The following is a 21,103-nucleotide window of genomic DNA, read 5'->3' on the forward strand; positions in this document are numbered from 1 at the left end:
AGTGTCACAAAATTTTAGCCTTTGTTTTTTTCTTTCTTTCTTTCCTCCTTTTTTTTTTTGACAAGTTCTCGCTCTGTCACTCAGGCTGGAGTGCAGCAGCATGATCTCGGCTCACTGCAACCTCTGCCTCCCATGTTCAAGTGATTCTCGTGCCTCAGCATCTCTAATAGCTGGGATTACAGGTGAATGCCACCATGCCCATCTAATTTTTATATTTTCAGTAGAGACAGGGTTTAGCCATGTTGGCCAGGCTGGTCCTGAACTCCTGGCATCAAATGATCCACGCCTCAGCTTCCAAAAGTCCTGGGATTACAGGTGTAAACCACTGCACCCTGGCCACGTAGTCTTATTTTATTTTCTGGCCAGCATCTTTAAAAATCTGAATTTGAATGCCGTTAGAATTTGAAATGTTTGCTTCAATCATAGGCTCCATCACACACTGCTGTCTTACTCTAAACTTGCTTAGTTCATTTATATCAACTTCTCAGCCCACAGAGATATTTGAGTTTGCAACTCTTGCTCTAACATGTCATGTAAAGAAAGGCTCTTTTTGCTATTTACTCTGGTTCTACTCGTGGTTCTCACTATAATATCCAACAGTGTGGGGGTTAGGGTGAGATGATTTAACGCTGGGTATTAAATTTAAGTAATTAAGATAAATACTACTTTAATGCAATATTTAAAACAATTAATGCCAAAAATTTATGATGACTGAAATAAAGGCATTATCTACTCCTGGCTCTAGTATCCAAACTGCCCTTTGGAGACTGTATTTTTATGCTAAAAGCCTTGAATCCAAGGCCTTCCTTCTTACTTGATTAGTTTCTACTCCATCTGCCTTACCTCCTCCTCTGAAAAATGTAGGGAGTAGCAACCAATCCTGATTAAAAGAGAGGAACTCAAACAGCAGATCCACATGGCTTTATTCAGAGGAGGGGCCTACATTCAGTATGCCTCGAAGAAGCCCTTTGTATAGTTGATAATTTTAAAACAACAATAGCTAACATTTATTGAACACTATATTTAGTTTCTGTGGTAGGCACTTATTTATTTTACTAATTCCTAACAACAATCTTATGTGATATAGCCATTATCTCCAGTTTCCACATGAGCCTAAGTCACTTGTCTAAGCTAAAGCCTGGTAGAGTAAGGGATTACATTAGGACATTATAATGATAGAACACATAATTTTAGAGATTACTAAAACTGATCTGTAGTCATAAATAGAAGGCTAATTGATTTTAGCTTAAGAAGCAGGAAAGCGATATGCTAAAAGAATTTGTTATGCACAACTGGTTGTTTCCATGAGATAATATTTGGAGATTTTTAGCCAATGCTTTTATTTATTTTACATTATTATTATTTGGAAAATTACATTATAAATCTGCACTGGAACTATAGAAATTCATTGCCTAAGGTGGACAAAATGTGCAGTCCAGGACAAAACAAAGTCATTTTTTGTTTTAAATTTGAAGATTGATTTATAAAATTTTCAGCACAGACTATAAGCTTGAAAATGCCCCAATTTTTAATTGTTACAGTGAAATATTTGATTAAAAAAAGCAGTCATTTTTATTTCCAAAAGTTTGGCTTTATCAAGAACCACAGAACCTAGAAGACTCAGATCAGGTACAGCATAAATCAGAGCAAGGAGAACTCCAGTATGACCTAAGAGCTCCCAAGGAGATAAAAGTCTGATCAGCAAGAGTAAGAGGGAAACTGAAAAGCATGGAATTAGAGTTAGATTTGCTGGTTTTCTGTGTGTAGACAAACAGGAAGCCTCGCAGAGGAGCCCCACATCCCACATGGTGTCTGAGAAGTAGAGCAGCACTTCCTCAGAGCCTGAGAGAAGTGTCATGTGGTATTGGTATTGCATGTCTCAGCATGGTGCAGGGAAAGTAGCTAAGATTAAGTGGATGTGTTTGGAATGAAGAGGACAGAGAGTAAGTGTACCTGAAAAGCAGAGGTCATGACAGGACCTCAGACACCCTCAGTGGATGAATAGGGATCAACCATAGTCAGCAGAGGCCATAAAAGATGGAGATGACCACAACTTGCTCCACTCTTCCATTTCTTCTCCCCGCCTGGCTTTTGCTCCATGTCATGAAGCTATGTCCAACTTCCTGGAGCCAGGGCCATCCAGGGAGAAGGGAAGACCAAGAGGGAGGGAGAAAATACTGAACTGTGACTGTGATTGCATAGTGAACTCAGAGATTGACATGTAAATTGGAAGTAATTGTGTTTAATCTTGAATTTGCAAGACTGAAATTTCCTTTATCTTCCCAAATGAGAAACACTTAAATTAAGTTTACTCATGGAAGAATAATGGAAGCTCCACCTCTGCGTAGCTGAGTTTTGTAATTGTAAAATTTATAACAGCTATAGGAAAATATCTTAACTATATTATGGTACTATAAGCTTCAGTTATCTGGAAAATTAACAGGTGGAACACTGTTCTGTCACTATAGTAGAAAGCTAGAGCATCATTTCATGTACAAAATATAAGTTAAATTTAGTTACCCATCCAAGAGTAGAATAAGAGGTATAAGTTTTAACATTCTAAAGATTTTAATATGACTATCGTATATTTTATGACTGTTACATGTTCGTATTTAGAGACACTAGATTCTACCAAAACCAGTAAGAAAAGAGTAATATCTTTTTAGGCTCAGACATTAGTACGGACCTACTATTTTTCCCAGTATTTTTAAGGCTATCGAATGAAGTTTGATGATTTTTGCTGCTACATCTATATTCATTTTCTATATTTAATCCAAAAAAAGACCTCCTATGGTACATTTTACTAGGGTTTAATATATTTCTCATTCTAGAATCAGCCCATATTTTAACTGTAAGTAGCACACTGAAAATCAGCAGTAAGAGAATGAAGAAACTGGAGTCAAGACAGGGTCCAGTAGAGAGAGAGAAAAAAAACCCACTGTTTTGGATTGTTCTTTCACATCCTAAGCAATCATGAATGTTACAGAACTAGAATCTGGACTTCTTTTAGCTACATGCTCAAGGTAAAATTGGTTTCATGTATATAAGGGTGCATGCTTCTGGAATTCATGATAACGGCTAGAGAAACATCAAACATTCTGATAAATCAAAGGGAGAAATTTGAAAATTTTAAGAAGCCTTAAAAATAAAAGTTCAAGAAAATGCTATGCCTTGGCAAAGATATTTCAGACGTTAAGATTTTTTTGTCTATTGGGATAATTTTTTCCCAGTATGTTAAAGAAAAGCTAAGCCTAGGGTGGTATGATAGGAAATCTACAAATATTAGAATTCAGCAAAATCTTTCTTTTTTCTCAAATCAAGATAAGCTACTTTAGCAAACTTTAGCTACCATAAACTAAGGATCCTCCTAAACCATACATTTCTTTTAATAATAATTTGATAATTATAAAAGTTAAATTGTATAATTTCTTAGTTTGAATTAATCAACATATTATTTTGACTCAGAGTAGTAAAGAAAAACATCCCTCTTCTCCATATTTGGAAACATCACCTGTTATCTGATAGAATAATTATTGTTGTTTTGGTTTCTAGATTAAAAGCAAATGACAGGGAGAATGCAAGAAGGGATTGCTGGGAAGAAGGCCAGAGGAAATTGGAGTGAGAAATTCAAAATGTATGCAAGAGTTTGTCTAAGGAGAATCAAAACTACTATGTTTAGAAAAGGTTGAAATTTCATTATTTTGCAAGAGTTACATCAACAACTGCAAAAGCTTCAGGAATTCCAGGTAATCAAGTCTTAGAAGCTCACTGAGCCAGCATGCTTCTTCCCATGAGTGCTGCCTCTATAAAGCAAATTTTTCATTTTCACATTAATAGCATGGTTGAGAAGCTCTTGATAGAGTAGCTTCTGGGGGAATGGAATTTGTCTGAAGAAGAAATAAGCCTGGAAAAGCTACAGTAGCCATAACTAAAGGCTGAAATTTACTTCCCTACCAGGACTTTTTTTTGAGTGAGGAAGCTCTGTTTTTGAAATCTTGGTGTGTTTTTGCCAATTCTAGGATTGCTTAAAACTATTGGGGATCAGAAAGAAAAGGATTTGAAAACATATCTTGTCAGCAGATTTTATTTTTTTAATTAAATAAGATTTTTAAAGAGACAGAAAAAAAAGATGACTTTTTTCTCTGGATTTCCCTGAGCAGTTGCATTCATGATAAATCTGTAGCCCACATACATTCTGTCTTCTATTACTCTGCTGGTTACTGACTGAAGCCCAATATAAAGTGATTGCTGCTCGCTCTCTCTCTCCATTTCCACCTCTTAACTCTGTCCCTTGTTTGCTGTTCTCCTACCTTCATACATTTTCTCCCTGATGTCTTTTCTCATATACTGTTTCAAGTATAGATTTCCCTAGTGGAGTAATATAGCATGGTCTAAAAACAAAACAGAGCAGAATTCTATATTGATGTAGATGGCCCAAGTGATGTAGTGAGATTTTTAAAAAGAAAATCCAAAATCCAAAAAGAAAGAAAAGAAAAGTAAGCAAATGGGAAATAAAGCAAAGAAGATTTAAAACCAAAATGCAGACTTGCAGCTCATTATACCTCTGACCACTTTACTCCAGAAATATGCAGAGGAAGGTTTATATTCAGAAGAGTATTTAGTTTTACAAAGCTAATAACATTTCCCTGGAGGATTGGAAGGTTATTAAATTTGATCACATTCCATTTTCTCACCTGATATGTTATACTATGTTGATCTGTATCAACACATCTATGTATCTGAAGGCATATGTAAAGTATAATATATTGCATTAAATTTTCTGAAGTTTGTGTAAGTTAATACACTATACTATTTTGTAGCTTACTTCTTTTTAAGACATTTAAATCAATGTAAACAGTCACAGTTAATAAACAAAAAAATTGTATTGAAATCTGATTTCAGAAAAATGGCATTAAATCTCAAAATTAGAATTTTATATTCCTGCCCTGCCCCTTCTTAATCTCTGCTGTGCTCCCTAGTTCCATCACTTTCAAATCTTTTCAATTTTTTTGTCTGTTTATTGTGTTCATCATGATTTCATAGACATATACCTCGTAAGGTGATTAACACAATCAAGTTAGTTAACACATTCACCACCTCACAGTTATCACCCTTGTGTATGTGGTAAGAGCACTTAAGATCTACTCTCTCAGCAAATTTCAAGTATATGATACACTATTGTTGACTACAGTCACCATGCTTCAGGTTACAGGATAATGATTCCCCAGAACTTATTCATCCTATAACCAGAAGTTATAAGTTTGACCAACAGCTCCTCATTTACCCCATCCCTCAGCCCATGGAAACCAGTATCATACTTTGTTTCTATTAGTTTGGCTTTTTAGATTCCATATATAAGTGAGATTATATAGTATTTGTCTTTCTCTGTCTGGCTTGTTTCACTTAATATAATGTACTTCAGGTTCATCCATGTTATCACAAAGATTTCCTTCTTCTTTATGGCTGAATGTTATTTTATCTATAATTCAGCCATAATATATATATGTATATGTGGGGACACACATACATAACACATTTATCTGTTCATTCATCAATGGACAGAGGTTGTATCTATGTCTTAGCTATTGTAAATAATGCTGCAGTGAATATGGGAGTAAAGATAACTCTTTGAGATACTGATTTTGTTTTCTTTGGATATACACCTAGAAGTGGGATGGTGGCTGGACCATATTGTAGTTCTGTTTTTAATTTTTTGAGGAAGCTCCATACTGTTTTGCATAACGGGTGTACCAATTTACATGGCCATTTGCATGTCTTCTTTGGAAAAATATCTATTGAGGTTCTTTTTCCATGTTTTAATTAGGCTACTACTATTATTATTTTTTGCTATTAAGTTGTAAGACTTTCTTATATATTTTGGATATTAACTCATTATCAGATAAATAGCTTGCAAATATTTTCTCCCATTTTGTAGCTTGCCTCATTTTTATTGCCTTATTTCCTTTCCTGTGCAGAAGCTTTTATGCCTGTCGTAGTTCCACTTGTTTATTTTTGCTTTTGTTGCCTGGGCTTTTAGTGTCATCTCCAAAACATCATTGCCAAGGCCAATATCAAGGGACTTTCCGCCTACAGTTTCTTCTAGTAGTTTTCCCATTTCAGGTCCTATATTTAAGTCTTTAATTCATTTCAAGTTTATTTTTTGGGACTTAGATGTAAGATAGGGGTTCAAGTTCATACTTTTGCAAGAAAATACAGTCTTCTATATGTCATTTATTAAAAAGACTATTCTTTCTGTATTGTGTATTCTTGGCACCTTTGTTGGAGATTAGTTGGCATTATTTCTGGGCTCTCTATCCTGTTGCATTGGTCTATATGTTTGTTTTTATGCCAGTGCCATACCGCTTTGATTACTATAGCTTTGAAATAAAGTTTGAAACTAGGAAGCATGGTGCCTCCAGATTGGTTCTTCTATCTTAAGATTGCTTTGGCTATTCAGGGTCTTTTGTGGTTTCACCCAAATCTTAGAATTGTTTTTTCTATTTCTGTAAAAATGCCATTGAAATTCTGATAGGAATTGCATTGAATCTATAGATTGCTTTGGGTAGTATGGGCATTTTAATTGTATTAATTCTTTTGATCCATAAACATGGGATATCTTTCCATTTACTTGTGACTTCAATTTATTTCATCATCTTATTTCATCATCATTAGTTTTCAGAATACAGATCTTTCATCTCATTTGCTAAATTTGTTCCTAAATATTTTATTGTTTTTATAATATTTTAAATGACATTTTATCGTATACTTTTTCAAACAGTTCATTGACAATGTACAGAAACAACTGCATTTGCATGTTGTTTTTGTATGATAAAACTTTAATGAATTATTTTTAACAGTTTTTTTTTGGTGGAATACTTAAGGTTTCCTAAATATACAATCATGTACCTATAAACAGAGACAATTTTATTTCCTTTTTTCTGATTTGGGTGCTTTTTATTTCTTTTTCTTGCCTAATTGCTCTGGTTAGGGTTTCCAGTACTTTGTTGAATAGAAGTGGTGAGAATGGACATCCTTGTCTTGTTTCTGATCTTAGGGGGAAAGTTTTCAGCTTTTCATCATTGAGTATGATATATCATGGAGAACGTTCACTGAGTGTTTGAGAAGAAGGTGTTGTCTGCTGCTGTTGGATGGGATGCTCTATATATGCGTTAGGTCCATTTAGTCTGTAGTGTTATTCAAATCCACTGCTTCCTGATTTAATTTCTGTTATGAGTGAAATATTAAAGTTCCTTACTATTATTTTATTGCTATTTATTTTTCCCTTCAGTTTTGTTAACATTTGCTTTATATATTTAGTTGCTCCAATGTTGAGTATGTAAACATTTGTAATTCTTATATCTCCTTGATACATTTGACCTTTTATTATTATGTAATGACTTGCTTTGGTTCTTGTGACCATATTTGACTTATTTTGTCTGATATAAATATAGCCACCCATTCTGTCTTTTGGTTACCATTTGCATAAAATATCTTTCTATATCCTTCAATTTTAGCTTATGTTGTCCTTAAAGCCAAAGTGAGTCTCTTGTACACAGTATATAATTGGAGCTTTTTTCTTCAATCTATTCAGTCACTCGATGTCTTTTAGTTAGTGAATTTAATCCATCTATGTTTAAAGTAATTTTGATAGATAAGGACTTACTATTGCCATTTTCTTGTTTTCTGATGGTTTCGTAGTTCCCCTGTTCCTCTTCTCTCTTTTGCTGTCTCCACTGAAATTTTTTTGTTTTTTGTTTTTTGAGACAGAGTCTTACCCTGTTGCCAGGCTGGAGTGCAATGGCGCAATCTCAGCTCACTGCTCCTGGTTCAAGCGATTCCCCTGCCACAGCCTCCCAAGTAGCTGGGACTACAGGAGAGCACCACCAGGCCTGGCTAATTTTTTGTATTTTAGTAGAGATGGGGTTTCACCATGGTGGCCAGGATGGTCTCAATCTCCTGACCTCATGATCTACCAGCTTCGGCCTCCCAAAGTGCTAAGATTGCAGGCATGAGCCACCGCGCGTGGACCTCCATTGAAACTTGATGTCTTTTTTTGGCGATACACTTTTATCCCTTTCTTTCATTCTTTTTTGTATCTACTTTAGGTTTTTTGCTTTTGGTCACCATGAGGCTTATATAAAAAAATCTTTTTATAACTGTTTTAGGCTGATAACAACTTTAATTTTAAAAACTCCATATTTACCTCTTACATTTAGGTTATTGATGTTACAATTTACATTTTTTTGTATTGTGTATTCATTATCATATTATGATAATTGTAGGTTTCTTAATTCTTTTGTCTTTTAACTTTTATACTAGAGTTGAAAGTGTTTATGTACCATTATTACAGTATTAGAGAATTTTGAATTTGACTAGGTATTTAACTTTACCAGTGAATTTTATACATTAATACGGTGTTATAATGTAAATTAGCATCCTTTCAGCTTGAAGAACTCACTTTACCATTTCTTGTAAGGCAGATCTAATATTGATGATCTCCCTCAGCTTTTGTTTGTTTGGGAAAGTATTTTTCCTTGATTTCTGAAGGGCAACTTTGCTGAGTATAGTATTATTGGTTAGCAGTTTTGTTTTATTTCTTTTTTCTTTTTCTGTTTTGAGTATATCATCCCACTCTCTTCTGACTTACAAGGTTTCTGCTGAAGAATTTATTTATAGTATTATGGAGGCTCTCTAGTATGTGACAAATCTCTTTTCTCTTGCTGTTTTCAAAATTGTCTTTGTCTAGACTTTGGACAATTTAATTATAATTTATTTTGGTGTAAACCTTTTCAAGTTCATCCTGTTGGAGGTCTTTAGTTCTCATGAATCTGGATATCTATTTCTTTCTTCCAATTTGGGAAGTTTTTAGTCATCATTATTTTAGTAAGGCTTCTGCCCATTTTTCTTTTTCTTTTTCTTCTAGAACTCCCATAATGTGTTTATTGTTTCACTTGATGATATTCCGTGAGTCCTGTAGCTTTTCTTAACTACTTTTTATTCTTTTTGCTCCTTTGACTGAATAATTTAAAAGGAGCTATCTTGAAGTTCATTTATGATTTATTTTGCTTAATGGAGTCTGCTGTTGATGCTTTCTATTTAATATTTTAGTTCAGTAATTACATTATTCAGCTCTAAGATTCTGTATTTTTTTAATATTGTTTGTATTTCTTTGAACTTCTCTCTCTCTCTCTTTTTGACAGTCGTGCTCTGTCATCCAGGCTGAAGTACAGTGACATGATTGTAGCTTGTTGCAACGTTAAACTCTTAGGCTCAAGGGATCCTCCTGCATCAGCCTCCTAAGTAGCTGGGACTATAAACAGATGCCACCATGACCACCTAATTTTTAGGGTTTTTTTTTTTTCTTTTCTTTTTTGTAGAGACAGGATCTCCCTTTGTTTCCCAGGGTGGTCTAAAACTCATCGGCTCAAGTGATCCTTTTGCCTTGGCCTCCCAAAGTGCTGGAATTTCAGGCATGAGCCACCATGCCCGGTTGGACTTCTCATTTTGGTCATATATTGTTTTCCTAATATCACTTAATGATCTGTTTTCTTATAGTTCACTGAATTTCTTTAAGATGACTATTCTGAATTCCCTGTCAGTTAGTTCATGTGTCTCTATTTCTTTAGGGTAAATTATTGTAGCTTTATTAGTTTTCTTTGTCATGTTTATTTGTCATGTGATGTCATGTTTCTCTGATCCTTCATGATCCTTGTATCCTTGAAATCATGTCTATGCATTGGGAAAACGGTCACCTTCTTCAGCCTTTACACGCTTGCCTCTGTAGTAAAAGAACTTCACCAGTCAACCCATCCTGGGGTTCTGAACAAGCCAATTGGTATCATCCTTAGGCAGGTTTCTTTGCCTCTGTCTTTGGTTGGACAAGAATACTACTCATGCTCTGCAGTTGGGTAGGGCCACTGGGTAGGCTCCATGGTTGGGTGGGTCTACTGGCTGGAGTTTCTGGTGGCCCAGGGCTTCTGGCTGTGTCTGTAGTTAGATTGGGCCTCAGACTGGGCTCTGCACTTGGGCAGGGTCTTTGGCTGAGCTTCCTTCCCAGAAAAGCCCTCAGACTATGCCTGAAAATTGGGCAGTGTTGCTGGCTATGCTCCCTGACTGGCTGGGAATTCCAATTCAGTAGAACTGCTCTCTGTGGTCTCTGGTCATACAAGGCTACCAGTTAAGCTCTGTGAATGGATAGATCCACTGCCTAGGCACTCCAGCTAGACAAAGTCAGTGACAGGGATGTGGTGCCACCACCAAGTTGCATGTACTGGTCACCGTGAACTCTACTCCCTTCTTTGTCCTTAGCTGATCCTAGGTGATCTAGTCCTGCTAATACCCTCAGAGTTCTCCAGAAATTGCTTCTATGACCTTTGTAATTCAGCTTTTGTTAGTTCTTTTGTTGTTCTTGTTGTTGTTGTTTTGTTTTCTCAGGGGGTGCTTCAGCCTCACCTCTGGTTTCTGGGATTTTCTCAAAGGTGTTTTTGTTTGTGGATAGTTGTTAATTGGCATTTCTGTGAGTGAGAATAGAGCCAGGGACCTCCTGTTCCATCATGTTATTGATGTTACTATTGATTTATATGGTTTAGACCTTATCTGTTTACTTCTTATTGTGGCAGATAAGAATTTGGCTCTCATATAGCTTCTTCTGTTTCCCTTCCATTATTCTAATATCATCATATCTCAATCTGAATATACTACGTTTTCAAAGGCATCATTTGCATATGCAAAGGCAACACATAAAGAGGAAAACATGGAATCAAGAAATCAAGGTCTGGCATAGGAGTGAAGAGAGTAAAATTTCCAGATTCATAGTCGCATAGTAGGCTAGGACAGTTAGAGGTTACATTGGAACATTAAGAAGCTGTTCTGGGGTTGGGGAAGGTGCATCAGTTTGAGAGAAAAATGTAATGGAAAACTAATCTGATATATTTGATCAAGTAGAAAACTGTACTGAAAGGCTGTTGGAAGGTCTGGGAAAAACTGGTACACAGAAAACCAGACAAATGAGAACAATTAGAAAATACTGGACTCTAGGCCGGGCACGGTGGCTCATGCCTGTAATCCCAGCACTTGGGGAGGCTGAGGTGGGTAGATCACCTGAGGTTAGGAGTTCAAGACCAGCCTGGCCAACACGGTGAAAGCCTGTCTCTACTAAACATACAAAAAAATTAGCTGGCTGTGGTGGTGCATGCCTGTACCAGATAATCTGGGGACTGAGGCAAGAGAATGGCTTGAACCTGGGAGATGGAGGTTGCCGTGAGCCAAGATTGCGCCACTGCACTCCAGTGTGGGTGACACAGCAAGACTCCATCTCAAAAAATAAAAAATAAAAAATGTTGGACTCTAGAAAAAAGAAAAAAATTCAAGAATGGAAGCTTAGTATGTTCCTTGACTCCGCAATGAATAGTATTATTTAGGAACTATAAGAACCAAATATAAGTTTAACTTCAAATTGGAATTCAGAGGCACTTAAATTATTAAATTTATTTTATTATATTTTATTGTGGTAAGCACACTTAATAAGAGACCTGCCCTTTTAGGGGGAATTTACATAAAAAATATATGTGTGTGTACTGTCAACTGAAGAATGATAAGTTTCATAAATCTGGAAAGGAGAGCTTTATTTCTCATAAAGGGCTATAGCCTGCAGAGTGGCTATTATGATAGGCTGGGAAGTATAGCCTACAGCCAGAAGACAGAAACATACACTTTGAGAGTTGGAAGAATATGACAGGGATTTATGCTAAAAAGGATGGCCAGATATACATATTCTGTAAGTTATAGGAGGAGTCAAGAATATTTATAAGAGAATAAACATGTGCATGTGCAATTGAGCTTCATTCCCCTCCAGGGGACCCATGTTAAAAAAATGGTGGTACTAGGCCCGGTGTGGTGGCTCATGCCTGTAATCCTAACACTTTAGGAGGGCGAGGTGGATGGATCACTTGAGCCCACGAGTTTAAAACCAGCCTAGCCAGCATGGTGAAACACCACCTCTAATAAAAATACAAAAGTTGACCAGGTGTGGTGGTGCACACCTATATTCCCAGCTACTTGGGAGGCTGAGGCACAAAAATGGCTTGAACCTAGGAGGCAGAGATTACAGTGAGCTGTGATGGTACCACTGCACTCCAGAGTCAGACTCTGTCTCCAAAAAAAAAAAAAAAAAAAAGGAAAATGATGTTAGCATAATCTGAGGGTGGAGCTTTCTGCTCTCTGACATCAAAAGGTGAAGCAGAGGACACAAAAACACCTAAGGCACATTCTCCATTGACTGGTCAGAACCACCCTGTGGTTGGTGATCTCTTTTCAGGAAGAAATGCTGGTCAGTTTCTTTGTCAAAATGACATAAGGGAGGGGCAGTGTCAGGCAGTTGGTTGATATCAATGGTGGAGTCTTTCAAAAGGGCTGGTTTCTGTTTAGCCCTTAGGGGGAAAGCCTAATGATGGTTAGTGACGGAGGGGATATAATGAGTCATGGCCAACCTCCCACCATGTCATGGCTGGGAATTCAGCTTCCAAGATTTCTCTGGAGTCCCCTTGACCAATCAGGGGTCCCTTCAGTTGATGGGCGGTGCTTACAATTTTATTTTTATTTCTAAGCACATTTGTATACATTTATACATAAATGCAAATATCACGTAAAATAGTAGTGAAGGGGCTAACAGTAATTGAATGTTTACTATTTTTGCACTAAATACTCTTACAAACACTGTTGCATTTAGGGAAGCTTCTCAGTGTACTTGATGAAATATGGGCTTTGAAGTTAACAGCCATGGTTCTGCGTCCCAGCACTGTCAACTATGAGCTGTGTGATCTTGAAAAAATTACTCAACCCCTCAAATTAAATCCTCCCCAGTTTCCTTACTTTTACAGTGACGATTACAATACTTATCTTGCAACGGGCTGTTGAAGATATTACATGAGATAATATGGGCAAAGTGATTACTACATACTACTCCTTCCACTAACATTAATACTATACAGAAGGAGTTCAGAACATACCACCTCAAAATACGGTGCTCTGGTGTCTTGATTGTTTTTGAGTTAAAAAACTGAAAACCAACAACAGATGCAGGAAAGGGCGCTGTGACCTAACTTAAAGCAGGAGATGAGATTCCCATGTGGAAGATGGTCTCCCTGCAACTGGAGGCAGAAAGGCGAAAGGCCTTCTTCTTACCAGAGATGACAAATTGAAGCCAAGAGAAGTCTGTACAAGCAAACCCTGTTAAACAAACCCTTATGTTTCTAGTCACTTCTACACGATTAACTATCCTAGTCCAACTCCCCTTGCATTGTCATGTTTTCACAATTTTGTACTCTTTGTTCAACTCAGTATACAAGTGTTCAATTCTAAGTGGTCCTCCATCTCTTTAAGAGGGCTCTTGTGTCATGGAAAATGTATAGTAAATAAATATACATGTTTTTTCTCCTGTTAATCTGTCTTATGTTAGTTTAATCCTCAGTCCCAGGTAAGAGAGTATAGGTAGAATTTTGCTTCCTCTAGAATACTACTGTCATTCTATTGCTATTGTTACTATAATACCTACTACTAGTAGTATATTTTATAAGCAAAGAAACTAATGGCTTGGACAGGTTAACACATTTAATGAAGATCGTATTTCTGCTAAGTGGAGGAACAGAGATTTAAAAATGGATCTGAGTGACTCTAAAACCTTCCCAGTATATCATACACTCCCTATGAGAAGCAAACAAAGTCACCCATAACATTTTAGACCTTTTGATTTGTAACATTATATCAACCATCCACTGACCTCAGTAAGTTGTCTCAAAATGGGCAGGCTTACACTGTGTTTAAGAAACCAATCACAGTAAGATTTGGACCACAAGGTTAGAAAATTTCTTGTTGAAACCTTTACCAGAACATTTGTCTCTGCTTTTCCAGTGACCAAGTGTAGGACCAATTAACAATAAAAAAAATTTTTTTATTATGTCCTAGATATAATATTTTGGGTCTTACTTAAATCTTCTGTTTGAGCAGGCCTCCTGTGACACCATGCTGGTGTGCAAAGCGGGGCACCACACCACCTCATTACTGCCAGGTGGGGAAGGAAGTCCAGATCCTTTTCTGTTGCACTCTTGGAGGTAGTGACTTTTTACTACTGGATGGGGATAAGTACAGCCTGCTCAGTAGTCTATGCTGACACCACTGAGGCTGATAAGGGGAGGATCTCCTTGTTATGAATCCCCACGTAGCCTGCACTGAGACTAAGGTGGTGGGAGAGACTTGTTACTGCTGGGAAGTGGTGAAAGTCTAGGCTTTGCACTCAGCTTCCTCTGATACCGCTTTAGGGAGAGGAGGAGGAGGCCCCTCACTATCTCAGATTGGAGGTGGGAGTCCATATTCCTGTATGCTCTCCGTTGACAACATGAAGTGAAGAGGATGTTTAACATCCAGGCAGAGATGTAGGTCCCAGCTCTGACACCAGCCTGACCAGGGTGGGTGCTCCATTGCAGCTGACTGAGGATCTAAGTTTCAGCTTTTCATTTGGCCTTTGCTGATCTGAGTGGGAGTGGGACTGTGGTTTTTTTTCATAGGGGTTGGCTGGAGTCAGTTAATGTCTAAACGTTTTATCTTGTTATGCTTCCCTTATCTAGTGCATTGTCTGGAGAAGACAGGCTTTTGTTGGGTTTTGTTGTATGTTTTTAAGTACGCATCCATTGATATTTCTGGATGCTTTCTTTTCTAGCATCCAGCCTGAGATATATGAGGCTAAAAGGAAATATGATGAGCTCCCTGCCATGTCATTCCTCAGGTCCTGAGATCCCCAACTGATCTGCCTTTTTCTCTCCTTCCTCAAAGTATTATGTTTTCTTTCTTTATTTTTTAATTTTTATTTATTTATTTATTTTTGAGACAGAGTCTTACTCTGTCATCCAGGCTGGACTGCAGTGGCGCGATCTCGGCTCACTGCAACCTCCACCTCCCGGGTTCAAGCGATTCTCCTGCCTCAGCCTCCTGAGTAGCTGGGACTATAGGCATACCTCACCATGCCCAGTCAATTTTTGTATTTTTAGTAGAGATGGGGTTTCACCATGTTGTTCAGACTGGTATCGAACTCCTGACCTCATCATCTGCCTGCCTCAGCCTCTCAAAGTGCTGGTTTCTTTTTTTTAATACTGTGAACTCTGAAAATTTGAGACAGGTCTCAGTTAATTTAGAAAGTTTATTTTGCCAAGGTTGAGGACACACACCCATGACACAGCCTCAGGAAGTCCTGATGACATGTGCACATGCTGTTTGGGACACAGCTTGCTTTTACATGTTCGGGAGACATGAGACATCGATCAATATATGTAAGACATGCATTGGTTCTATCCAGAAAGGCGGCGACAACTTGAAGCAGGGAGGGGCCTTCTAGGTCACAGGTAGGTGAGAGACAAATGGTCACACTCTTTTGAGTTTCTGATAAACCTTTCCAAAGGAGGCAATCAGACTATGCCTCTATCTCAGTGAGCAGAGGGATGGCTTTGAAAAGAATGGGAGGCAGGTTTGCCTTGAGCAGTTCTCAGCTTGACTTTTCCCTTCGGCATAGCAATTTTGGGCCCTAAGATTTACCTTTTACAATACATAATGTTCAGGGTTTAGTATTTCTTAATAAGACCAACATAGAGATGTGCATCTACTGTATCTCATTTGGAACTGGAAGTCCTGAACTGACTTTCAAGTGTTCTGTTTTTCACTGAACCCAATAAAGAAATTGAGATATTTTATTCAAAGAATTGTGTAAAAACATGAACACAGAATTTGTTCATGGACGTGTATTGCTACTTCTGAACCTCACACAGAACGCATCATTTCTAGATGATCTTGTATTGTGGGGTTGGACAATACAATAGTTATATGGATGGTAGTTTGAGCTATGGGGTGGCCCCTGGATCAGCAGCATTAACATCAACAGGAAATGTGCTAGAAATGCAAAGATCCACCCCCAACTAAAACCTACTGATTAAAGAACTCTGGGGGCTGGAAACCAGCAATCTGTTCTTAAACAAGCCCTCAGATAATTTAGATGTGGGCTAAAGTTTGAGAACCACTGAGCTATGGGAAAACGGGGTCGGCGGGTTGGGGACTCTGCAGTTTAGTATGGCCCTGCTGGTAGGAGAGTGCCCTACAGCCCGGGTATTCATATACTGTGCTATACCTGTGTGGCCTTGTCCTGGAGGGATCTCATGCAGCGCTTTCTTTCTCTTCCTTAATTTTGTGAATAAACCAGAGAAAAGAAAGTAACCATACACAGCGCTGAAGTTACAAGTTACCTGCAAATTCTTGGAGTGAATGAACAATTCAAATCTTCTACTTATTCTATGTGAGAATTAATATAGTCTGAGCCTGCCTAACATTTAAGTTGCAGAAAAAGAATGTTTAAGGACCCCTTGTGTAAAAAAAAATGCTTAAAAGTCCATTACTGAAAATATTATATTTTGGAATTATGCTTAAAGTTTCACTGCTGAAATTACTTTGAAGGAAATGGCGTCTTCCAAAATAAAGTAACACGTAAAGCTGCCTTTTTCTTTGCACTATGAGAGGAATAAACTGAAAATGAATAGAGATCTAAGCCTCTGTTTGAAGAAGATCCAAGATCTGCGAAGAGGCCATAAGGAGAGGGGAAGTTGATAGGGACTTAAGAGGGAGTTGGCCAAAACAAACTTGGCTGCTTTGCAAGTTTCTCTGACTTGGTGATGCTGTGGGTGCCCGTCAATACAAAACTAATTCTGACCCAGTTGGTTATTTTCATCCTTTATTATTGGCAGCATTTATGGCATTTAACAATAATCCTATGCTAAATTTGTAGGCAGAGGAGCATCTAGCTTTTAAGTAAGATTGTTTTCTCAGTGTTTTGGCAGAGCACAAACTACACACCATAAGGGACATTCTCTAACTCCGTTGAGCGTTATCCTTATTATTATTATTATTTCTTAAGGATATCACAAGTCTAGATTGTCTTTTTGACACTGTGATTCATCGTCATCTACCTTAAGGATCCCATAATGTTAAAAAATCTCTTGGCCCTCAGGGGCAGATAGACTCATATCTCACTTGCTCCCCTAAAAGGCACAAAATCAAATTACACCAAAAGCCTCCTTAGAGTACAGCTCTTTGCCAATTACTTGAATTATTTTCAGCCACTTTGGCACATTTCCTCTCCAGCTGAAATGAAAATCTTTTACTCTGCCCCAGTGAAGGATTTCATATTTCTTAGTGCTTCCACATATACTGTATAATGAGAATAAAAGCTTCTCTGCCTCACAGATCTTTTCGTACAGTGCCATAATGCAGGGAAAATAACATCCATTTCTAACACATGAAGCCCACGTATTTTCTAAAGAAGAAGAGAAAGGCATTAACATTACACAAGAAAACTATTTGCTCTTTGCTTTAAATTTCCAAATTTGAGGACACCGGAGATTTCAGACTTCAAAACTACATACATCTGTGCTGAGACATAGACCCTCTAAGGTGCTTCATTATTGGCACTTAAAGCTGGTTTCATGAAACACCTGGTCTGAGTAAGCAATATGATCAGAGAGTGTCAGCAGGGCAGACAGATTTTAAATGGAAGATTGTTACTTACCCAGAAGCCATTTTGAAGCGAAAAACAGCATTATCAGCAAACCAGTAACAATAACTTAAACATCCCCAAGTGCATTATTAACACTTCTAGCCCTCTAAAGATTAGATGACTTCTTTATAAAAGTTTTTATGTCTCGAGAGAACATATTGTTCTCTGCATTTATCATTTTACAAAAATATTATTTTTCACCAATAGTCTTACTTTTATTATTCCGTCATCTTTTATTTTTGCTTCTGATAAGTGTTATTTCCTCTCTACCAGTGCCTGCAGCAGCCTGCACTGCAATCACTACCCATTGCTCAGTATTTGTCCGTTTTCTCAACAGCCCTTTGGATTGAAACTCTTGCCTGGAGCATTAAGAACTTGGGGGAGAAATCACTACTCACTGCTTTGCTCGCAATTCTCATTTGGACTAGCGCTTGCAGAAACTGAGCTGAACTTTCCGCACTGTTATTGCATCTGTAAGGTAATTGCCTAAACTTGTTGAGCCAATCGGAATTGCTGTTGTTGACTTTTGCAAATGTGAAGAATCCGATGAAGCAATTTGTAAGCCATATGTGGTACATCCCTCTTTCCCCACTCAAAGTCATATTGCTCTCTATAGGATTTTGTGTGATCCTTATGAAACATCACACTCCAGAATTCTATTTTAAAAGCTTCAAACATTAGTGTTTAAAAAGTCATTCATATTTATGGGACCATTTTGTTGCCAAATTCTTGTATTAAAAGAGGGTTAAAATTCTTTAGTAGTACTTTAATGTCTTGGAAAACTTACAGAAAAAAATTATTTAAAAAGAGAGAGAACAGATACACACACATTCATACAGTCTGTAAAATAGGGGAAATATTGTGTCATATGACTGTGTTACATTTTTTTCATCATAAAATTTGTGTTGAGTGCAGGGGCATTCAGAAATGTCTCATTACTATTGCTTCCTGAGTTGAAAAAATCGATTTTTTTTTTTTTTTGAGACGGAGTTTTGCTCTTGTTACCCAGGCTGGAGTGCAATGGCGTGATCTCGGCTCACTGCAACCTCCACCTCCTGGGTTTCATTGATTCTCCTGCCTCAGTCTCCTGAGTAGCTGGGATTACAGGCACCCGCCACCACACCCAGCTGATTTTTATAGTTTTGGTAGAGATGGGGTTTCACCATGTTGGCCAGGCTGGTCTCAAATTCCTGACCTCAAGTGATCCACCTGCCTTGGCCTCCCAAAGTGCTGGGATTACAGGTGTGAGCCACCGCACCCGGCTAGAATGTTTGCTGTGTACATAAACACACACACACACACACACACACACAGAGAGAGAGAGAGAGAGAGAGAGTGAGGGATTTATACCTTCAGTAAAAGCACAGGGAATGTAAAAGCCTTATGTGTTCTCTCATTTAGAGAAATACTGAATGAAGAAATTATAAATTTACTAGACCACATTCCTATCCTCACTTGTTACAAAATTTGAAGTACTTTCCTACATGAAAGAAGATATTGCTCTGACCCAGTTGAATCCTCACTGAATGCTTAACTAGCTAAATTATCCCCTTCATATTTGATGTCATGCAGGTCAGTATCTCTTCAAACAGAGAATTACTAAAAACTAGTCCAATTTCAAAAAATTTTAAAACATTTTTCTCTCTTGCAGATCAGTGGTTAAAAAGATAAAATAATCACCTAAAGTAACCATAATTCCACAGATCCTGTTACACATATTTACCTTGCTGTCTCAATCTTTTTCTTAAAAAGCCACATTATTCACAAATCCAAGAATAATGTACTGACTTGGCCAAGAAAAGTACTATATTGGGACTCAAAGCAGAGGCCTAAGAAATTTAAGTTAACTTAAGACTATGCAAGTGATTACATTTACAAGACAGCACAGGTTATGCTGTTAAGTGAAGGCTGTAAGTTTAAGAAACTTGAGAGTTCACCAGAATCAAAGTGGGGTGGAGGACAGACAGAGCTGACTGCAGCACTATCCATGGCAAGCAGCTGAGGCATTTCAGTGCAATGCGGTAATTATAATGATTAATGAAAATCATAAATGGTTGTGCGATACTGTACTTCTGCAATGTGCTACATAATCATGACTGATACGATAATTATTCCTGAGCCATGTGAAGGGAATCAAAATCTGGGATTTCAACAGGAACCATGTTCTTATAGGAGGTAATAAAGGTTGTAAGAAAAATAGGAGGAAAATAACAATGGAAGTATATATCTTAGATTGAGCACAATGATAATTAATAACCTCTTAATAACAACTTATTCTAAGTGCTAAAAGGAGTTACACAACACCAAGATTATATAATATAGTCCTATTTCAAATAGAATTGTAATGTAATAAATTGAACCAGAGTAACAAAGCTGTATTCCATTGATCCATGAATAAAATATATGTATGTGGACAGATGTTGTATATAGTTAATGAAAATATTCGCACGCAAGCAGAGGTACTGGTGAAGCAGATAACTATTAAGATACGGAATGAGTTTTAAAAGACAGTAAAGATTTACAGTAGGAGGTAAAAATTGTTTTCAAATATGATGAATGGAACAGAGGCTACTGTGAGAATATGGAACATTCTGAGAAAAATCTTAAAAGTACTCAACAGAAAAAATTGGATGGGAAACTCATATAAGAACTGAGTTAGGGAGGGTGGAACAAGTTGATAGGCAATTTGGAAATCTGGCCAGGAATTCTGATATAAAAATTCAGGAAATTAAAGGCTTTTCAGAGATTTGAGGAAAGAGGCATGCAGGCATGCTTACAGAGGATAAAGCTGGCCATCAGAATGCTCTGAATATGAGGGCACAAAATAAAAAGTAATTAAGAATGTAAAAAAATTGATATAGATTTCTGCTGCAAAATCACTTTATCTATAATTGGAAGATTCTCAGTCCTGGCTAACTAAGGAGATTTTAATGCTAATTAGATTGTTGCAGTGAAAAGATCTTATTTTTTCACATAAACATCCTTCCCCCCCTCCCATTGACTACAAAAATATTTTCGTTTCACTTTATCGCAGCAGCTCATTTTGATTACACTCAGACCTCAGTGCATCACCTACACCTACCCAGCTAATCTGAGTAATTAAAGAAAAATGGTGCATGATGCATTTATAGTTAAGTAAAATGAATATAAATCTTGCACAACAGCTGGATTCCTATACTTGGCAACACGGCACAGTTAGAGAAAAGCAATCATCTTCCTTTCCTGTTGGCAAAACACTTCACTGGTCTCTCCAATTTCAGCCCTCTTCAGGATTTAGTGCCTTCTCACTTTATAATGCATAGAACGCTACTTCCAGATGGACAGCCTTGTCATACGCTATTTTTATGCTGCACTTTAGAATTTTAAAGTGGGAGCAGTTATTCACCACACATGAAATGTATCACTTATTGTATACATTGGAGCAGCTTTTCAAATCAGCATGCTCAACCAGCTGCTGATGAGCTTTATACACTCAAATGAAAGAACGGAGGCTTAAGTTAGACAGTCAGCATACAT

General features: G+C 37.4%; 1 long non-coding RNA gene across 1 annotated transcript in view; it reads left to right on the forward strand.

Moving 5' to 3' along the window:
• Positions 1 to 18,069, forward strand: part of LOC105377179 (uncharacterized) — a 30,411-nt gene extending 12,342 nt beyond the window's left edge. Inside the window, exons 2-4 of the long non-coding RNA XR_940999.2 lie at positions 2,832 to 3,023; positions 3,553 to 3,746; positions 17,925 to 18,069. This is a non-coding gene — a long non-coding RNA (uncharacterized LOC105377179). The remainder of the gene's footprint in view (positions 1 to 2,831; positions 3,024 to 3,552; positions 3,747 to 17,924) is intronic.
• Positions 18,070 to 21,103: the final 3,034 nt, after the last annotated feature.

The sequence above is a fragment of the Homo sapiens genome, chromosome 3 (assembly GCF_000001405.40).
Source record: "Homo sapiens chromosome 3, GRCh38.p14 Primary Assembly".
Lineage (NCBI taxonomy): Eukaryota > Metazoa > Chordata > Mammalia > Primates > Hominidae > Homo > Homo sapiens.